This window comes from Homo sapiens, chromosome 10 (genome assembly GCF_000001405.40).
Source record: "Homo sapiens chromosome 10, GRCh38.p14 Primary Assembly".
NCBI classification, from domain to species: Eukaryota; Metazoa; Chordata; class Mammalia; order Primates; family Hominidae; genus Homo; species Homo sapiens.
The window spans coordinates 61,876,783-61,899,478 of record NC_000010.11 but is presented as its reverse complement, the minus strand read 5'-3'; the positions used below and the strand labels follow the sequence as shown (position 1 = coordinate 61,899,478).

At 39.7% G+C, this 22,696-nt stretch overlaps 1 annotated feature.

Moving 5' to 3' along the window:
• Positions 2,472–2,641: an enhancer, noted in NCBI's record as "active region_3398". NCBI's record gives its function as "activates an Ori minimal core promoter by ATAC-STARR-seq in GM12878 lymphoblastoid cells {active_cell/tissue: GM12878}" and the evidence as "EXISTENCE:reporter gene assay evidence [ECO:0000049][PMID:35858748]".

The following is a 22,696-nucleotide window of genomic DNA, read 5'->3' as shown; positions in this document are numbered from 1 at the left end:
TCGCCCATTTTGTTCATTTTTAACATATGAATGGACTTGACTGAGGGGCATTTTACATGTCTTTTTTAAAAATAGATATGCCTAAAGCTTCTGTTAGTCTCTGTCGTGTTAGCGTAAATATATACATCCAGTTCAAGAAATCCTATATTAAAAAAACTTGAGTTGCAGTATTTTGACAAGATCGTATTTGAGATCGACTCTGAGTCAGTTTCCTGTATGACCAATGCAGCAGCATTTATGCAGGAAACCTCAACAGAATGCCTGAGGGTATCCCTCAATTGTATATTAAATCTCTTTCTTAAAAAATTATACAGCTCTTTACAGCATCTAAGCTACTTCTACTGTCTTTGGTGCTGTAAGTCTTTAAGTGTGTAACGAACTTCATCTAATTAGAAACCCTGTTTCTTCAGCTCTTCAAGGTAGGCACTGAACTAGGATGCATGCTGCCTTATCTCTCCGATAAGGTTTCTGAGATGTTAACAATTGCAGGGATCTGGGTCTGAATATTTTTGAATATCCGCAGCCTTGTAATCAGATGAATGCTAAATTTCAAAACCGAATCACAGGGGTATCTTTCCCCCTCTTTTTACAGCACTGCCCCCACCCCCCGTGAACATAATAAATCTAATAAATCAAACCAATACTGTGAATGCCTTTTAAAATTACAGATCACAATAGTGTTTACCCCTCCCCCCCAAAAATCCCTCAATTTTACCTCTTCTTTAATGTGATGTTTGATAGGCACCTGTAAATTATCTGTGTAGCAAATATCCATACAAAGAAAGTTTCAATTAAGATAAGGAGATTGTATTGAAACAGTTCTTTGAAGTAATGTAGTTAATAGCCTGTTTGATTTCTGCTTGTGAGAGAGTAATAACGTGGATTCAAGGCTCCATCAATCACAGAGCAGATGTAAGACTTGAGACACCGACACCCAGGGGAATAGAGGCAAACTCCTGCAGTGCAGGGTCCCTGGGCTAATGTAAAGTAAATACTCATAAACAGATTGAATGTTGTAAGAAGACAATCCATTCAGGACAGTTATAATCATGAAAGCAACTGCTTTATTTATCTATAAAAAAGCTTGTAGCTGGAACTTGCTGTGTATAAAAGGTGGGAGGGAGAGTAGTATATGTTTATATGACCCACTACTTCTGGGCTCTTTCTTGTACTGAAACACAGAATCCGGTACCCACACACCTATATTCTTGCTGCTTTACTAGCCAAAAATCCAACTCTCTAAGTTAATCTCGTGTATTTACACGGTAAAAAATTAAAAATCATTCTTGCCCCTCAAGGGGATGGGAGAGCAGTAGACATTATTCAGTGTCTGTGAATCGCTTCATAAAGGATCAGGAGGATTAAGTTAGTTGCAAAAACCAGCAGTGACATAATTAGGCAGCTTGGACTATAATAAACAGGATCATAAAAAAAGAAAAAAAAGGAAAAGTACAGTTTGAAGAAAGAAGGCGACCATTTCGAAAATGCAAACCTCTCTGCGTACCCCTGGGCCTCCCCTCCCCCAAATTGCAAAAGACAACTGAAGCATTTTTGACCTTGGCTACAATAATACTTCATGTTTTAGCACTTTAGTCAGCATTTTATCTACTAATTGCTACACACTACCGCATGTGGCTCGAATCTGCCACTGCAGCTTTCTCTCATTGGTGAGCGAATTGCTTGATAAAGACTGGGAATTCAACCTGGCTGTTTCCTTTCTTGCTCCCCCTCAGCCATCCACCCCCCCACCCCTTTTCTTTCCTCTTCCAGCTAGAAGCCACTAATTTTCCCAGAAAATACCACATGGATGAGAATAGGGACAGTGAATTGTTCCCTGATCTCTCTCCACTGGTTAAAGCTCGGGTCACTTTTGCGATCCGGAGGCAAAACGGAGGCGGTGAAGGGGGGTAATGGGGACGAGGAATTAGGGGGACGAAGCGAGGGGCGAGTGGATTCTGGCCTGTTGGCGGACCTGATGCTAGGTGATTCTGAACGTGGGTCCCTTGCCCAGTCCATCGCTGGTTGGAAGTCTGTGGGGCTCCACGCTGCCCACCTGGGGACCTCGAGTTAGGCACGCTCTCCTGCTCTTGCTTGGTCAGTAAGTGGGGTTCGAAGGGGTAGCCCTGGAGTCTGCAGACTGATTCGTAAAGAACCAGCACTGTCTGAGGGTCAGCCACCGCCTGGTCCCATCCCCCTCTATGCCTGGCGCCATCGTGAGCGGCGGGGGCGGGTGGCGTTATTAATAAGGAGGCCTTGAGCAGAGCAGGCTCGCCAAGCCTTAGTGCAACAAGTCTATTGGTTTGAAGGAGGATCAACCGGGTTATACGGGTCATTGCTTTCCAGGAGACCTCTAGTGGTCAAAGGTTGAGCTACATCTCAAATTTGGGTCTATTCGTCGCCTGTCTCAAGAGCTGTGGTGGGGGTGGGACTCCAGCCCAGGTCCAGGTGGTAAAGGCTGGAAGCTTCAGAAGGATGGGTATGGGGACAGATTTCTCATGAACTTGGAGCCGGAGCCAAGAGAGACACAGGGAACTCGGAGCAAGTGATCCCCTGGGAAGGGTCATGTGATGCCCTTTGTGGGCACTGGAAGCCCCAAGTTCCCCTGCCCTCGATACAGATGGAGACTTCCTATCTCATCTTGATTTTCCTCCCGAGTCTGAGATTAATCAAATATTATGCAGGAAGTTGGATTAAATTTGCTCAAGCCTTTCCAGTTACAATAGCAATGCTGAGTCTGTTTATTTTTTCTAATTTGTTTGTAAATTAAAGCCAAGTCCCATTCCCTCACCCCAATCACAAATACACCCTAACACCCCTTAATTTTAACAATTTCATTGCCTTCAAGTGCCCTTGACATTTATGGGTTACTTAGTATAGAAATAACTAAGCTTTTTTTTTTTTTAATTGCCTGCACTGCGGGGTACATATATGACGTTTGGCTAAATTGTAATCTTGCCCCTCTATTCAGAATGCCACGGCATTCCATCTCAAATGGCAGGGTGCTGGAGGAAAGGGTAGTGGTGACTCAGGCTTTCAGACTCATTTGTGATCCACATATTAATAAATAATTTGATCAAATTTCCCCCCAGCATGGTATTAAAGAAATTCCTGGGAACACCTATCATAGGTCATACTCAAAACAGAGGTCCCAACCATCTGAGGTTATGAAAACATCTTGCCATACCTGATTTTTTTTTAAAGGAGACAAGAAAAAATGTACAGACATGGAGTCTTGGCTCCAATGGGGCACTCATATATTGCCTACTAAAATTTCTCTGTGCAGTTTCAAACGGACATTAATGATGCCTTGTATTTGGTGATTTACAACTTATAATTACTTGACAAGCATTAAGTAACTCATTACCTAGAAGCAGAGTGGGTACGGTAGGTAAATCACTAGACTGAAAGTCAAGGGGATCATTCTTCTCTGATTTGCTGTGTCTCCATGTCCATGACTATAATTATCTGCAGGACTCAAACCCTAATTCTGGCTTTGTCGGAATTTCTCAGTTATTGTGGCAGAATTATCCAGGCTGGTCATCTGTATAGAGGCAGCTGCCCTTGCTGGGGAGTCATTCAGACCCATGGAAGTGCCGGCAAGTCCCTTGACCGCCTCCACCTACATTTTGCCATGTCACAGACTGATAATTTTATGACTTGTTATTGCAGGTTGAAATATGTAAACGTGGTAATTCACTAAGGGTATAAGGAGATCTGTGTACTTCAGAAGAAAAATAATACCAAGAAAAACAGTGAGGTTGGTTCTGTTTTCATTTCCAATAAGCTTTGGCCAAAATAAAATTGGGTGGGCTTTCAACAAAGATAGTAGGGGACCAGATGAATTTCCCTCAGGGCTTAAACAACGCCCTTCTAGAGATGTGCTGGCACTAGTTCCCGCAGACTCCCTAGAGCTGATGATTACATTTTCAGAAATTTTGCAAGTCAGATGTCAAACACATCCACTATTGAACATTAAATTATATAAGCTCTCAAATAAATTATATTAGAAAACAATGGTAATATACCCTCAACACTCTAATTGTTTTACTATATTTAACTGTTATCTATACTCTGGAGGTTATTTATGTCTTTTGTATTTTTGTGGCCGCAATACAGTATCCTCAGAGGACTGGTTCCAGGACTCCTGGCAGATACCAAAATCTGTGGATGCTCAAGTCCCTTATATAAGATGGCATAGTATTTGAATATCACCTACTCACATCCCCCTTATACTTTAAATCATCATATTGTAATAACTAATATGATGTAAATGCTATGTAAACAGTTGTTATATTGTTTTATTTTTCACTTATTTTTATTTTTCACTTATTTCACTTATTTATATTTTTCACTTATTTTTATATTTATTTATTTATTTGTATTTTTTTGAGACAGTCTCATTGTGTTGCTCAGGCTGGAGGGTAGTGGTGAAATCTCTGGTCATTGCAACCTCCGCCTCCTGGGTTGCAGCGGTTCTCCCACCTCAGCATCCCGAGTAGTTGGGACTACAGGCGTGCGCCACCACACCTGGCTAATTTTTGTATTTTTTTGGTAGAGGCAGGGTTCCAACATGTCAGTCAGGCTGGTCTCAAACTCCCGACCTCAAGTGATCCACCTGCCTCGGCCTCCCAAATTGCTGGGGTTATAGGCGTGAGGCACCATGCCTGGCCTTTCTGAATATTTTAAATCTGCAGTTGGTTGAATCCTCAGATGCAGAACTTGTGGATATGGAGGGCCAACTCTACTATATAAGGGTGTGCTACTCCCCATCTCTTCCCAATTCACATCCATTGACATCCCATTGGTAGCTTGAAATAGGCCATGGTGGGGTATTTATACCGTGGAATTCAGCAAACATTACAAATCAGAGCTTGATTCATTGTTTTGTTGATTGGACTTGAGAAAGTGATGAAGACAATGTTAATACTGCAGATTGTGATGATTAATTTTATGTGTGAACTTGAGTGGGCCATGGGGTGCCCACATATTTGGTCAAACATTTTTCTAGGTATATCTGGGGGAGTGTTTTTGGATGAGATTAACGTTTGAATCACTAGACTGAGTAATGCAGACAAATGATATGCAAAGTAAACCCCCTCGTGGGTGGGCATCATCCAATCAGTTGAAGGCCTGACTAGAACAAAAAGGCTGAGTAAGAGGGAACTCCTCTCGACTGTCTGCTTGACCTGGGATATTGGTCTTTTCCGGCCTTCAGATTTGAACTGAAACATCTGTTTTCCTGGTTTTCAGACCTTTGGACTCAGATTGGAAGTACACATCAGCTCTCCTGGGTCTCCAGCTTGGTGATTACAGATCTTGGGACTTCTTAGCCTCCATAATCAATCATGTGAGCCAATTCTTCATAATAAATTAATCTGTCCCTGTCTTTCTCTCTCTTTCTCTACACATACTCCACACAACACACACACACACACACACACACACACACACCTTATTCTGTTTTTCTGGAGAACTCTGACTTAGGTTTAACTTAAAAGTGTGTCAAGCCTGTAGCCAATCATATTGTGAAAGCACAATTGAGGAAATATTTTGAAAACTATTATTTGATACCAGCAAAGAAGGTGTTCATGTCATTGATGAAAGAGGGAAGTTCTGGGATACATCTCTGTTTTTTCTCTTTTATTGTACTCCTTAATATAAGTGAAAATATCAATCAACATTAAAGTTAGAGCTACACTTATTTATTAATTGCAACCATAGATTAGGTATGGATAGCAGAGTTCAGCAAACAGGAACAGAAGCATTCTATGAGAATAAATTAGCTATCTGGAATTCACAATGAAGAGTGTGTATAATTATTATTTGCACATTTCTGCTATACTTCCTGTATATCTGCAAAATATATAATAAAATTGCACACATATATGTGCATAACTTGACCTACATATATACATATATAGATCTATATATCTAGATCTAGATCTTTGTATATATTTAAATAAAACATACATACCTTTTTGGGGGTGAGGAACTAATTGTTAAAGATTTGAAAGCACACCACATTGTATAGGTATCTTTGAACATGATATACAATTCAGACTTCTAGAGCAGGGGCCAGCAAACTACAGCCTACCACCTGCTTTTCTATAGCACCCAGGCCAAGAACATGTTTTACATTTTTAAATGGCTCAGAAAAATCAGTAGAAGAATAATATTTTGTGACATATAAAAATTATATGCAATTCAAATTTCAGTGTCCGTAAATAAATGTTATTGGAACACAGCCATGCTTTTTCATTTATGTATTGTCTATGGCTGCTTTCGCGCTAAAACAGCAGAATTGAGTAGTTGTGACAGAGACCGTATGGCCCTCAAAGCCTAAAATATTTAACTGTCTTGCCCTTTGTAGTAGAAATTTGCTGACTCCTGTTCTAGAATATGGAGATACATCCCTTGGTTGGGAGTAGTCAACTCAACCAAATGACCTTTTGAAGTCTTTTCTTGCCTTTGGTCCTAGAAATACTTCCTTGGTAAACAGATAGAAAAAAAAAAGGAATACTCAGAGTTTTTGTGAGGCAGTCAAATCATTGACAAGGTCACGGGGAGAGCCCATGCCATCATAAAAGTAAGAGTGGAGCATGAGAATTCTCACTCCTTGGTTTGTATTCTGACCACTGCATGACAGTGCCTTTCTTCCTTACTGCTTGTCCTAAAGCACTGTATGATTTTGTTGGGCGCTGTTAAATATTTATTGAGTTTTCTTGTCCAGAGTGGTTCGGTTACTGTGTGTCTGTGTGTGTGATGGGACCCTTCAGGATTAAAGGTGCTATATAAATAGAGGATTATTTTATGACTTGTTATTGCAGGTTGAAATATGTAAATGTGGTAATTCACTAATGCTATATCAGTGCATGTATCTGGGAAGCTAGAATGCATTATCCTGCTATTTGAATCTAACATCATTTACATCCTTTTTTAAAAAAGGTGCCCAATCAATTTTTTTTTAAATGAGGAAACGCAGTAGAGGAAAAAAAACCTCCTTTAATGCAATACTTCAGCTGAAAGTTTAATGACACAAAAGGCAGGCAATTCAAAGTTACAGTTCCCACAGCAACTGTAACTCTGCTATATAGCACATTTAGGCATAGATTTCACAGCATGTACTGCAATACAAAATACTCCACACTGGGCATGCAAGGGGGCAGAGTTATGGTTGCTATGGGTACCATGACTTTGAATTTCCAGATTTTTTGAGAGTTTAAATTTTCAACCAGAACATCACATTAATAGTTCATTTTTTTTGCATTGAAAATAATAAAGGTTGTATCACTGTTTCCACTGTCAAACCCATCTCCAGCTCAGTCCACTGCTTAGTATAAATACCTACCCAAACGTATTCACCCTACTTGCTAAAATTAAACACATGACCTCAGCCCAGGGAGTATTTTAGTTTGCAAATTTGTATGCGATGACTTTCACTGGATTAACTAAATCTGCTCCCTCGTCCTTTCTCAAAATCACGCATACATTCAGATTAACCCTCTCAGCATTCTGGTATATTTTATCTGTTATTCATAGGCTGAGAGGATATGATAATCACATTCATTGTGTATGAATGTGTGATGTATATATTTATAATTTATACTCTGTCTACTTCCAAAAAGAACTGGAGGTAGCTAACTACACTTATTCATTTATTCCTTGAACATGTCATGCAATTTTATGCCTTTACACCAGTGGTCACAGGTCCCCTTTTCACTTAAAAATTATTGAGGACTGCAAAGAGCTTTTGTTTGTGGTGGATATATATACATTTAATATTAGAAAGTCAGATTTTGTATATGTAAAATATTATACATTATAGTAGAAATATTTAAAAATATTTATAACTGATTTTAAAATAATAAATCCATTCTGATAAAACACTTTTTAATAAAAAATAACTATATTTTCCAAAACAATGAAACATAGTGAGAAGACAGGCATTGTTTTACATTTTTAGAAGTCTCTTTAATGGAAGATAGCTAGATTCTCATAGCTGCTTCTGCATTCAGTGTGTTTCATATCGCAAGTCATATAGTTTCTGGAAAACTCCACTGTACCTTTCTCAAAAAATGAAAGCGAGAAAAGCAAATAATGTCTTAATATTATTATAATCATTGTTTCGACCCTGTGGGCCACCTGAAATTGTCTCAAACATTCCCACGGATCCCCAGACCATACTTTGAGAACTAGTGCTCTATGCATTTGTTTATGCTGTTCTTCCAAGCATATGCTCTTCCTTATCTACGGGAAAACTCCTATTCATCCTTCAAGGCACTGGGAAGAATTAATTGCCCCCTTTAGCTGTATTCTCATAGCATTTTACATATATGCCAATCAGACCATTTATTATATTATGTGGTATTATGACTATATGTTCAAATATCTGTTTGCTGTTGTTAGACTGAATTCCTTACAGAGGAGTCATGTCTTATATATGTTTTCCGTATTTCTTAGGATCATACCTGACATTCTGTATGTATGGATTGTAAGAATTCAATTCAACCAGTGATAAAAAAGCTTTCATTCTTTGAGTACATAATATATTTTAGGAACTGTGTTTAAACTGTCTCAAATTTAATCTTCATAATAATGCTATGAAGTTGGTACTATTATTAATATTTTTTGATTGAGATTAAGGCTTGCCCATAGTTCAACAGCTAGAAAGTGGGCAGACCCTGATGGGTTTAACATATTGACAAGAAATATGAGAGAGGGTATAAAGCAGGAAACAGAGTCTTTGCCTTAAAGGCATTTACAATCTACTTTGGGAGACAAGACATATTGCACAAATGAAAGGCAAATATCAATACAGAAGTTAGCTAACAGCAGACCACAAATGCCATAATTAAAGGAATGCCTATTTAGTAGAAATGGCTACTTACCCAGTGAATCATTCAGATTCAAACTTTTGGAGAATATACTTCTATCAGAAAACCTTTGTTTTAGAATGCACACCAGATAAATATGTATTTATTTATAAATTATATATTTACTCTTGCACCAATCTGTTACAAATGTATCAATATATATTAATATGCTCAAAGATGTAAATCATAAAAAATTTAAAAGAATGAGATAAAAATATATAAAGACATTCTACAATATTTTTCAGCATGCTGATGAATTATGCGCTCTGCTTTGGAAGCAATTTATCTGGACTAGTGGTACTCAACTTTGGCTGAAAATTAGCTTTTCTGGAGAGTTTAAAAATTGACACTGCGGTCCCAACCCCAGGTCAAATCAATCAGGATCTCTGGGGGGTGGTACACAGATCATGGGAATATTTCACCTTCCCCCTCCACCCCATCCACCAGGGAATTCTGTGCAACCAAGGGTGAGAATCACTGGCCTAGCCACTAAGGACAGTGGCACCCTATAGAGAGATCAGTGCACTGCAGACAAAGCAGGAAGATACTACAGGTCACTTTAATATTTTTACATGGAAGTATTGAAAAGTTGCATTCGTAAAGTTAGTCAAGCTGAATTTTAAAATCTCCCGTTGCCTAAGTTAGTGTCCATGTTTTGGTTTTTTGAAACAGTACCCCTTTAGGGTGTGCCTAACTTTTCAAGGTCTGGGAATGAGGAGATCTGAGTTGTATCCTGGGCCTGCCGCAGAACTTGGGCTGAGACCTTTGGCTAGTTTTCAACAATGGTAATTATGGGGGTGGCGATTTTCTGTAGTCATAAAGTACTTTGTCTCAGAAAAGTATATTCTTGGAATCAATATGTAAGCCTGCAAATGGAACCCCGAAATATTTGTTCTGGAAGGCATCTTTTAGAACAGCACCCTCGGCCGGGCGCGGTGGCTCACGCCTGTAATCCCAGCACTTTGGGAGGCCGAGGCGGGCGGATCACGAGGTCAGGAGATCGAGACCATTCTGGCTAACATGATGAAACCCCGTCTCTACTAAAAAATACAAAAAATTAGTCGGGCGCGGTGGCGGGCGCCTGTAGTCCCAGCTACTCGGGAGGCTGAGGCAGGAGAATGGCATGAACCAGGGAGGCGGAACTTGCAGTGAGCCGAGATCGCGCCACTGCACCCCAGCCTGTGCGACAGAGCGAGACTCCGTCTCAAAAAAAATAAAAAAATAAATAAATAATAAAAAATAAAAAAAAGAATAGCACCCTCATTACACATGAGGAAACTGAGACCCAGAGATGCTAAGTAGAGGTAGTTGGCTTACCTAAGACAAAGCCGTAAGAAGAAAGGGTTAGGACACTAGTTGGAGGAGGAGGAGGAGGCTGATCCTCATCAGACAAATGGTTCTCAAATGTGGAATTCCACTTTCATAAAGGACTCAGGATATATGGACAGAATAGGGTAGAGTAATTGTGGCTCCTTCATCTTTAGCTGATCCCACCAACACAAGGGTTAGGTTTAAAAATTCTGCAATAAGTTGTATAGAAGGCTCCCATGTTCCCAAAGTTAGAAAGCCCCTGTGGTCAATGTTTCCTCATTCTTGGATCTGTTTTGAATGTAGTCATCCAGAATTTTCTCTATGAATGAGGAGGTTAAACTAGATGAGCTCTGAGGTTCCTTCTGACTCACCATGAAACTTCTAGGGCTGTGTGCATTGCTAGTGTCATCCAAACACAAGGACATGATTGGAGCACAAAGTTGGGTTCGAATAATTCTCTGTTGTACTGCATAATGGGGAGGAGAGATATTCTTGTCTAATTTGCATTTGGAAATACAGAAGCTTGCATATAATTCTGTGAGCAAATATAATTATGCTTTCCCTTGCCTGCTCAACATGGGTCATTATAGGTGAAAGACAGCACAACTGGGAACTGCTGGACCTGGAGGGACAGTGTCATGCATAGACCAAGAAAAGTTCATGTTGACAACATGTCAAGGCTTGTTTCGTATGGTTTAAATTGGGTTTCATGAAGTGGAAAACAATGCATGAAACCATTCTTGTTCTTTGTTCTTCAAAACACATGAAAATATTGGGAAGATTTAAATGTAGGAGTTAACATGACACTTAATGTCTCTTTGTGCCTTTGTTTATGTCATTACTTCTTCTGGATGTCCCTCAATTTGCCTTCTCACCATACCCACCCAGAGAAGTCCAACATGCCAACTGAAAAATGGACAAACAATAAGAGTAGTCCATTGCCTTAAGTGCTTACATGCATGCATCTAACTCTATACGGCAATCACTAATATTGTTCTCATTCTAGATGAAGACACTGAGGCACAGAGAGGATATGTAACTGGCTTGAAATCATTAAATTCAGAGGCAGAGACTGAATTCAGACTCGAGTAGTCAGTCTCCAGGGTCTGTGCTCTCAAGAACACACTTTACCAAGTTTTTGATGGCATTGTAAAGGATTTTAGAGAAGAAAAAATTAAAATGTTTGCTGAATGTATTAAAATTAAAAAATAAAATTATGTTTATGACCCACCAACTTGGCAAATATTTTAAATAGTGGCTGGTGGTGGGGAGGAAGTGAGAAAATGGAATTTGCCCTGCTGGTGGGAGTGCCAGTTTGTACAGTCCTTCTGAAAGACAAATTGGCAGTACAGTATGTAATAAGTCCCTTGGAACATACTGCTAGACCCAGAAATTTTACTCCCATGAATTTATCCTAAGGACAATTTTGGAGAAGTTCACAAAAAATGAATGCATAAAATTTATGTAAGAACATTGTTTAAAATAGCAAAAAGTTGGAAACAACATAAATAATTTACAATGGTGGATTGGTTAAATAAATTATGGTACAACTCTAATAAAAAATATGCAGATATTAAGAATGTAATAGAACCATGTTTACTGACATGGAAAGATGTTCAAAATAATGTTAAGTTTAAAAAGAAAATAGTTTTTAACTTAAAACATAAGTTTATGTCAATAGTAGAATTAAGACAGTTACAGATTTCTTTGTGGTGTTTGGTAGTTTCCAATGTATTACTTATATAAAAAATAAAAATAGACCAGGTGAGGTGGCTCACACCTGTAATCCCAACATTTTGGGAGGCCGAGGCGGTTGGATCGCTTGAGCCTAGGAGTTCAAGACGAGCCTAGGCAACATGGTGAAAGCCCCTCTCCACAAAAAATGAAAAAATTAACTGGGCAGGGTGGTGTGTGCCTGTGGTCCCAGCTATTCAGGAGGCAGAGCTGGGAGAATCACCTGAAGCTGGAAGGTCAAGATTGCAGTGAGCCGGGAATGCACCCCTGCATTCCAGCCTGGGTGACAGAAAGAGACTCTGTCACAAAAAGAAACAAACAAACAAACAAAACCACACACACAAAAACCCCTAGATCTTCCTTGCCTTAGCCATTGGAAAACTTTTTTCATATGTGCAAAACAGGCAGTGACTCTAACCAGAGTGAGTTTAAAGTAAAATTAATTGTTAACGTTCATTGAGCACTTATTATGGGCTAGGAGCTCTGTTAAATACTTTAAATGATTTCTTTTCATCCTTACAACTCTTCTGATGTGAGCACTCTGTCTTTTTACAGTTCAGAAAACTGAAGCACAAAAAGATTTAAATAACTTGCTCCAAGTTCACTGAGAAGGCAGCTTCTAAGGGGATGTAAATAATTTGTAGGATTCAGAAATGAAAGAATAAAGTTGGCCTTTGGGCATTAAAGCACCATCTCCTATGGATAGGAACGTTAGCTAGTTAGCCCAACACAGAAGATCAGTTTAGATCTTCTGGTTAAAAATAAAACCATTCATTGAGATCGAGCCCTGAGGGAACTCGGGATGGGTAAACAGCTATATTGTGTGACTTTTTACCTTGCAGTTAACTTCTCTGCCAGATAGAAAGTGCTTTACTAGTAGATTTCTTTTTCCTTTGTATCTCACACAAAGCCTATCCCACCCGAGGAGGAGCCTGAGAGAAAGTCACTTCAATTCAATTTTGGTAATTTAGAGATTTTGCTTGGCACGCAGTCTCCTTCCAATACTTGTCTCTATAAACATTGATCTTCTCTACCTCTCTGAGGGTCTCTACCCTTGGTATGTCGCTGTTCCTCATCATTTAGTAGCTGGGAAATATAAAGGCAGAAGTCCTAAATCTGTGGCAACTTTAGAACTTCTAAATAGTAGAGCCCTGGAGGTAGTAGCACAGTTGGAGGGAGGTGGCTGGACACTCTAAGTTGTGTCTACATAGTACTTAACACAAGAGTGAGAAGGTGTCAGGTGTGTGAATCAAAGAATGGGCTACTGATAAGTGACTTAGCCCTGAGGAAGGGTAATGAATAGTGACCAGGCTCCAAAGAAAATGTGCCCAGTGCCCTAATCCTTGGGTCTCTGCTTAACCTCAGCATGCCTTCAGACACAGAGGAATTGCTTTCAGTGATTGAGTTATCATCAATATTCTATCTCAGATGGAGGGAACCAGGATCTTGAAAAGACAGAAAACTTTTATGACTATTATTCTTTTGTTCATGACATTTATGTTTCTGAAATGCCTCTACTTATTCTCTCTCTCATGATCCATTGCAACCCAACTCAAGTGCCCCCACCTCCTTCTATAAAGAATTCTCTGTTGCTACCAGACATATTGAGAATGATCTCAATATACCTGGAACTGCATAGAAAGCTTGGACTGCTTTCCTTGGCTGTGTCTTTTTAAATAAGTCGTATAGCTATATTCTTCTGGCCTTGAGGGACAGGAACCCTATTACATAACAAAAATGACAAAACAATGCCAACAACTAGCATGGCACAAGCCTATTTATTTCAATAGAGAGAAGCCTAGTGGTTTAAGGTATACATCATCTAGCAAACTAAGCTTTCAGTACTGAAGCTTTGAGGCTTCAAGTGGTTTGAAAAGTCCAGTGTACCTAGAAACTATTCTGTGCTTGGGATTAATTGGCTTCTAGCTCAAGACCAAAAGGTAGGAGACACTGGTTGTAGGACTGGTTCGCTCATCATCAAGACATATTCTCAGTTACTTCTTGCAGTCTTGGTTCTCTCATCTGTCAGTTGACACAGAGCCAATCATACCTAAAAGAATTATTGTGAAAACAAAATAAAATAATGGATATGAAAAGCCTTTAAAAGTTGAAAGCACTAGGCAAACCCAAGGCATTATTTGGCATTATTGTAAATATGACAAACCAAATCTTACGCGGCAGAGGAGATTGCAATTATAAGGATGGGTGGTCAATACTTAAGATTCATGTATGATCAATGAAACCAACTATCTGTGGAAATGACATCCACCAAGGAAAAGCCTGAGTAGTTGAGGAGGTCACAGGGAGATGAGGACAGCTCATATTCAATCAAGGGAGAATATTCATATTGCTGAAAAATAGAACTCTGGGAGTTTTTTTCATAAAGTGTTGGCTAAAGTTTGATCTGTGAAACAGGTTTTTCAGGGACAAAAATGGGTAAAATAGATTTGAGTTAGACAAAGTCAAATAGAATTTTCACTCACTGTCTTTAGAATGCCAAGTTGACTCTTCAAAAGGGAGAGAGGCAGGGATCTTTAATCTTTTCAAGGGCAGTCACCTGGCAAAAGCTGAAGCTCAACCCATTGTATTAGATCTAACTGCAGGGAGTATGTGTTTATGATCTGCTTGGAGTTTCTGAGATGAGAACCAAAAGACGAAGACTTGAATGATGTTTCTCCAGCACTATGAAAATGAAAGAGTCAGGTACAGTGGCATGCACCTGCATTCCCTACTACTTGAGAGACTGAGGTGGGAGGATTTTGAGCCCAGGAGTTTGACACCAGCACGGGCAACATAGTGAGATGCAGTCTCAGAAGAAGAAGAAGAAAAGAAAAGAAAAGAAAAGAAAAAAGGAACTTCGGTTTTGGCAGTCATGGGAATTTTGGTCCTAGGAAAGCTGGAGAAAGCTGGACTCTATTATGACAGAGGGGATTGATTAGGCACACTTTGGTATGGGAGAATTCTCCTTCCAGACAACTGTTGCCCTTGTCCCAATCCTTGGCTCTCCCACCAACCTTCTGTTACCTGCTCAGCTTCCAGGCACTGTCATCATGGAGAGCAGTCTAAATGATGGACAGCACCATTCAAGAAAAAAAAATTAAAAATTATTAAATTCATGTTCATTTCTCTTAATTACTAATCATAAAATTAGAACATTTACTCAAAATTTCAAACGGAAGAAATATAGAGTAAGAAGTGGATACTCTTTCCCCATCTATCACCATGCCATGACACATAGTATAAAATTGCTACATTAAAAAACAAAATGGGCCAGGCATGGTGGCTCACACCTGTAATCCCAGTCAGTGCTCAGGAAGACTGAGGGGGCAGGATCACTTGAATGCAGGAGTTCAAGACAAGATAGAGAGATTCTGTCTCTACAAAAAAATTAAAAAATAGCCAGGCATGGTGGCGTGCACCTGTAGTCCCAGCTACTTGGGAGGCTGGGGCGGGAGAATCACTTCAGCCCAAGGAGGATACAGTGAGCTATGATCGCCGCTGCACTCCAGCCTGGACAACAGAGCAGGACCCCGTCTCTAAAACACCAACCAACTAACCAAACAAACCAAAAAACCCATGAAATGACTAGAAGCCAATTCACAATATTTCATAACTATTTATTTAACCAGTTCTCTATGGCTGGGCATTTAGGTAGTTTCCAAATTATCATCGTGACAATAGGTGTTGCAATAAACTTGGACATTTATTTTTGTGCATTTTCTATGAGAATAGATACACAGAAGTGAAACTGCCATCACAATGCATAACTAAATGGACAATTTGGCTATGTACTGCTAAATTGGCCCCCTCAAAATGGCACCAATTTCCACTTCCACCGGGAGTATATGAGGGTTGCCCATGAATTTGGTCAGTTGGGTGAGTTGCTTGGGACAGACCATGTCTGAAGCAATGACAGAACTGATGATCTGGACTGCAAAGTCTCGGGAACTTGATGACACAAGAGCTACTCCTGTGTCGGGCCTTGTATAGGTCGTTGGCATGCCACCCCAAACAACACTGACCTCACACATCTCTCGTTAACTGTAAATCAGACCACATTATGGCTCCTGAAGTGTACTAGACTGTACATCAATTTCCTGTGAGCGCCCTAATCAATTGCTTCTGTGAGGGGTTTTAAGGGACCCTGAAACATCACCCTTCTTTTTGGCCCAAGGCTTGAATCAATTAGAGCTAGGCAAAAGAGTAAGACAGAAAGAGTCAAAACATCACCTTTGTTGTTGTTAAAGTTGCTACTGAGGAATGTGGTTATATCTGCTGTGCCAGTGAGCGTCCCCATTCTTAACTGTGATATTGCAGGGACCACACCCAGCCTCCAGCAGCATTGGACCACTGCTGATCTTCCTACAGGTTGAGGAGTAAGTTCACTGATAAATTTATTAGCTGGTAGAGAAATATCAGGAGCACATGCTCTGTGTGAGTGTGCATACTGCCAGAGGAAGGGGCTTGGCAACCCATGACTAGTGTTTCTTTTAAAGCTTACCAATCAGATTATGTCTCTTTTTCTTCTCTGGAGGAAAGTAGGAGTGTTACATTAGTGGTGCTCTTTTTACAAGAAGGAAGTATCAGGAATAGGGGAGATTCTTGCTCTTTCTGCCCCAACCTTCCCCCTGCCACACTATCCCAACCGCGGTGTCCACCTAGAATGTTTAGTGGGAAAGAGTTTCATAGTTGATTAGCAATGTCTGCCATGAGAGTGGGCGGGGGGAGTTATGGCACATTTGTCATACATTTTCAATCCTGCAATAATTATGCAATGAGTAATATGTGGTTAGTATAAAGGTTCGGTACAATTGTGTCTTCTAAATTATAAAAGAGTTTCACTACAGATCAGCCACCCCCACAGACTTTTCGTCTCTATTTTTCTGAGTGTTCTCTCTCCTATAGTAGGGTGGAGAGATACTCTGGTCCCAAATAATTCATAACAGTCTAGGTCTTTATACCATTTGGTGCTATTCCCAATACAGAGCTGATATTTTCATTGTAATGGTTCATAATTAAGAACTCACATATCCAGATCTCCAGCTTTTACTACTGGGGTAACAGAGGCAGAAAAGAAAAAAAAAAGCCAGTATCAGTATTTGCCAAGTGGCCAAGGATAAAATTGGTAGTGGAAAAATTAGATTTTCAAGCTATTAAAAATTTATTACAAACAATGGAGCATTTAAATAAAATGAAGCTGATGTTGTCTTTCTAAACACTTGGCATGTTCTACTTTGTGCTCTTGTTGATATTCTTTCTTACAGAAGGAATTTTTATTTATATTTTATTTTTTTGCATGCAGATACTTTCCATTTGCAGTACTGAGGAGAAAATAAATTTTTTACTTGATTGGGTGGCTTTGGTGCTAAAGAGAGGAGCCAAATATGTCAATGTCCAATTAAGCTGGATTTAAAAATGCATGAGCAGCCTAATAGGAGAGTAATAGATGCTGGGTGGGATCGAGTTAGGAGACAGGAAGGGGTGTATTGAAGAGGAAACCACTGGGAAGACAAAAAGAGAAAAGATCTTTTCTTCTATTAACGTCTTTCCTTGTAGATACTTTATTATTTCTGGCCCTTTCCCATATTCAGCCAATAAGATGGCTGTTCCCTGAGATGGGACTCTAATTAACCCCAGATGAAGTTAGCCTCTCCCAAGATCCCTGACCAAATACCTTCCCCTTCAGACTAATTTTTCCTGAAGTTTAAACATTGGTGCATTTTCTTTCTGATTTTTTCTTTATCAATTTGCCACTTGTGCTGTTTCCTCTCCTCATTTTATATAAATAAATATATATATTTAGAGACAGGGTCTTGCCCTGCCACCCAGGTTGGAGCATAGTGACACGATCATAACTCACTGCAGCCTTAAACTCCAGAGCTCACGGTATCATCCTGCCTCAGCCTCTGCATAGCTGGCATTACAGGCCTGAGCCACCATGCCTGGCTATTTAATTAATTAACTTAACGTATTCATTATTTTGAGACAGAGTCTCACTCTGTCACCGAGGCTGCAGTGCAAAGACATGATCTCGGCCCACTGCAACCTCTGCCTCCCAGGTTCAAGCAATCCTCCCACCTCAGCCTCCCAAGTAGCTGGGATTACAGGCACGCACCACCACGCCCAGCTATTTTTTGTATTTTTAGTAGAGCCAGGATTTCATTACGTTGGCCAGGCTGGTCTTGAACTTCTGACCTCAGGTGATCCACCCACCTTGCCCTCCTGAAGTGCTGGGATTACAGGTGTGAGCCACTGCATCTGGCCTGGCTATTTGTTTTATTGCCTCACTTTTAAAACTGTTTATAAATGAAAGAAAAGTCAGTATCCACCTGCAGTAAATACAAGGAAATCATACAAGTAAGTACAACGGAAGCAAAAATGCTACTTAAAAGTTTTTTAAGAATAAAATTCACCAATGAAAAACAATTAATGATAAATCAGATAAATTTAAAAATTTCCACACCTAAAATAAATTTCTCAATGACAAAAATAGATCTATTTATTTGTAGTCACTAATGGAGGGATATTTAACTAATCAGTGCTTAGTTCCACCTAAAAATCAAGTCATTGTCTGCAGTTTGGGAAACAGACTTTTCAAGGGGGCAGTGAAGTAAAGTAGGAAAAGCTGGGATTTCAAATCAGACCACTCTGAGTTTGACTTCTAGTTCCAGGTGTTACTGGTCCCTCACAGTAAAAGTAGGATGACAATATCTACTTCACAGGACTGCTGTAAGGCTAAAATGTAATTGTATTGAAAAGCATTTAGGACATACTTAGGCAATTTTAGTTTTATTCTTTTCTACCAATATAATATTAGTAGAATATCCCCAGTTTTGGAGTATTTTTGTCTTGGTGGAGAAAGGCATTAACAAAACATGGAATCATAGAATTTGAGAAATAGAAGACATTTCTCAGAAAAAATAAATAACGTTTACAGGCTGTATTTATTTTCCATTCAAAATAAAAATAGTTTTACTGAGTCCCATGGGAAAAATGTACCGTCTTACCACTTGCATGATCTACTTCATTGACTAGAAGAATGTCAATGAAAAAATTCTCATGGTTTGTCATCATTTAGTGTAAATATCTGGGTTATTTGAGAAGCAGCAACAGAGGTAGCATCCTAATCATTTAGCCTTATATTCAAAGCGAGGCCAGTGGGCTGCATGGCATCCGTGGGCCTCAGTAGCTCTTCACTGAGTAGCCCATTTTTTTCAGCACTGATGAACAAATGGAGATGCAGAGCATTGAGTGTCCCTGTGACATTAACAAATAAATAAATCACATTGAGTGGCAACACAGAGATTTACCCAATATATACCCTATCAAATGCTTATTAGTGACCCAATACCAATTGACAGTATTTCATACAGTTTTGGAATAACAGAATGCTTGATATAGAAGGAAATTCAGGGCTTGCTTAGCTCAGGGGTCAGGTAGCTAACATTAAGGAGTGACGTGGGGCTGGAGGCACTGGGGAATCAGAGAGATCAAGCTATCCTAAAAGGGGGCACTTCCTAAACTGTTTCCCTGCAAGCCTTTGAACCCAGTATTGCCAGATATGACTTCTAAAGACAAGCTAGGGGCCGAGTGCGGTAGCTCACTCCTGTTATCCCAGCACTTTGGGAGGCCGAGGCAAGTGGATCACCTGAGGTCAGGAGTTCAAGACCAGCCTGGCCAACATAGTGAAACCCCACCTTTACTAAAAATACAAAAAATCAGCCGGGTGTGGTGGTGCATGCCTGTAATCCCAGCTACTTGGGAGGATGAGGCAGGAGAGTTGCCTGAACCTGGGAGGCAGAGGTTGCAGTGAGCCGAGATCATGCCATTGCACTCCAGCCTGGGCAACAGAGTGAGTCTCCATCTCAAATAAATAAATAAATAAATAAAATAAAGAAAGAAAATAAAGAAAACCTAGGAATTTGGATATTGCCATTTTTATGTGAAAATTTCTTTACATATTGGCAACAAAACACCTCCCACCACCGCCCCTCAATCCCACACCTAGTGCTCCCCACCCCACTCAGAAATCTCCATGCAGGTCAAATAAAACATGTCTGTGGTTTCCATGTACTCTGAGTGTTGAATGTCGGTGCCTCTGGTCTGGTCCAACTGCCTTCTATGTTGGATGGGAAATGGAAGTCCAGAAAGGAGAAATGACTTAACTACGGTCATATCAGAAGCCTCTCTTCTAAAACCTCCTAGGAAAAGCTGACAGTTCATTCATTTAAGAAAAAGTGTGATGGAATAAAACTGGAATCTGATAATCTAGAGAGCAATAATTCTGAATACAGCTCTTTAATTGTCTGTAACGTATATTATCCAAGCTGATGAACACAAGAAGTTAAGAAAGTAGATCGCTGCAATAATAAGTTGGTAAGGGAGGGTTTGAAAATTAAGCAGAAGTATTCGTTGGTGCAAGATTTTCCCAGAGATTAACTCTTGTCCCAAAATCATTCACCTGCACTTAAAGTAATATGGAAGTATGTCAGTGATTTACCCATGGCCCCAGAGATAAAATTGAATGAGATAATGAGTATAATTTGCAATTCCATGGGAGGAAAACCTATGAATATTTGGCAGTGATCTTTGAGGATGAATGAATGGATGGATGGTTCATTCATTCATGAGTGCCACAAATAATGATTGACTTCTTACTGCAAGTGAGTCACAGTTCAGGCACTGGGGACAGAGCATGAACAAGAAAAAAAAAATCCCTGCCCTAATGTGGCTTATATCTCAGTGGGTAGAATGAGTGGCTTAGGCAACTCTCAACTGGCTAAATAATGGATCAGCTCCTCCATCTCTTTTAGTCATGCCAACATGAAGAAGAAAGTTGATGGTGGCATTGGGAAGAGAAAGTTGGCTCTTTTGCTCCTAGGCCAATATTCTATTGCCATGGCAATGATATGCTCATTGGTCTGGAGCATGACATAGACTTTCCTATTTTGAATCAAAGCTCTAAAAATACCAGAAGGCAAAAGATGCTATTAACAGGACAAAGTAGGGGTACTGATATCAATTTACTTCTTTGTTGTCCTTGCCTCTCTTAAAACAATATCTGAAATCCAGCACAAACAGGGCGTGCACCTAAATTAAGCCCGTGGTCAGCTTTGCTGGGGAGAGACGCATTTCTGTGAGTGATTTGTCTTCAGTCCTGTTGGCTCTGGCAGATTTATAGGAATTTATATTTCCACACACAAATTGTCCTTGAACAATTTCTCCAATACCTGAAACACTGCTCCCTCCTCCCAGCCCCTTGTCAGATGTACCCATCTGCTGTCTCCCGCCCAGATTTTTTCTTTAATAACAAAGTAATTGTTGACGTTGTAAGAAAAATCCAATTCTTGGTTGAAGTTTACGTTCCAAAGGGTCTCTCTTCGGGAAGAAAATCAGCAGTGGATAGAGTTGCACATTCCTGACGTTGGAGCCAGCTCCCTCGAAAGCCTGCATTACTGTGAAACAACTGCACTGCCCTTCCCAGCTGGTCCTCTTTTCTTTCTTGGGAGGGATCAAGAAAGACTAATGCTTTTTGTCCTTTATCCTCCCTATAAAAGCCAGGGCTGGTGCCCGGAGCAATGTCAGTAGAGGGTCAAAGGGAAGATGGAAGATGAGCCTAATAGCCCCCTGAGTTAACCTTCCCGTGACCACTTCCCACTTGCTGGTGATTTTGTTACCTCAACACAGATTGTTTCTCAAGCTTATCAGTTGTCTGACAATGAGAGGAACTTGGAAGTCATTGTGAGTATCAAACTTCCCTGTGGCATCCACACATGATGACACCTAGTCAGGCTGAATGGACTTAATAAAGATTTGGTCAAAGGTGGCTATTGCTTTCTAGAGCATGCCAGCTGATGGTGTGGAGTCTAACCTTTTTATTATATTTCATTGTACCAAAGTTCCTACTAAGTTGGGCTAACTAGATAAAAGGTAAATCTTAAGAGGCAAAGTAGAAAAATGGCAGGAGAAAGGGCTTTGGAATCAGATAATTCTTGGTTTGTATAATATCTCTGCTGTATCACTTTCTAGCTTCAGGGCACTGGACAAGTCACTTAAAATCTCTGAGCCTGGCTTTCCTGTGGGTAAAAAGGAAATAATCATGCCCACAGTACATCACAGGGTCATCATAAGGGTTAAGTGAAATGATGTGTGTGAACATGCTTAAAACAATGGCCTGACATCAGTGAGCACTCAATGAAAGGTGATTTTTATTTATAGTACAAAGTTAAATTATAGAGTATTTTAAGCAAATGCATTTTTAATTAAGAAAACTCAGTTAACAAAATCTTCATGAATAGGCCCTTATGGGACTTGACATAACAAAGAGGTAAGAACATTTCAGAATAGCTTTATCACTTATTTATAGGAAGAGGTTGCTTTGAAAATATTTTTGAAAGTTCTGAGCAAAAGGCTTTGAAGACTTACTCACAAGTAGGGTCAATACTCCCCTTGAAGCTTTGTTTATACATTAAGTTCTTATCTTATAATTGGTGCAAAGGTTCATTTCAGTTTAGCTCTCTCTATAGAGTGATAAATTTTGAATTTGCAGAGTCTGGATTCCTGAGACTTTATTACTATTCAAGGCTTTAATTTTGAAGAGATCCTGCATATTTAAAATCTAAAATAAAGTAGTCTTATTTTCAGTATGATTGACCTAGAATATGCCCTGTCAATGACATGACTTTGAGCTCTAGGTCTTGGTGCTGGCCTTCAGTAAGATAGCAATTAAGATATAATGATAAAACCTCCTAGATTTGTCCATGGTAGAAATAATTTCA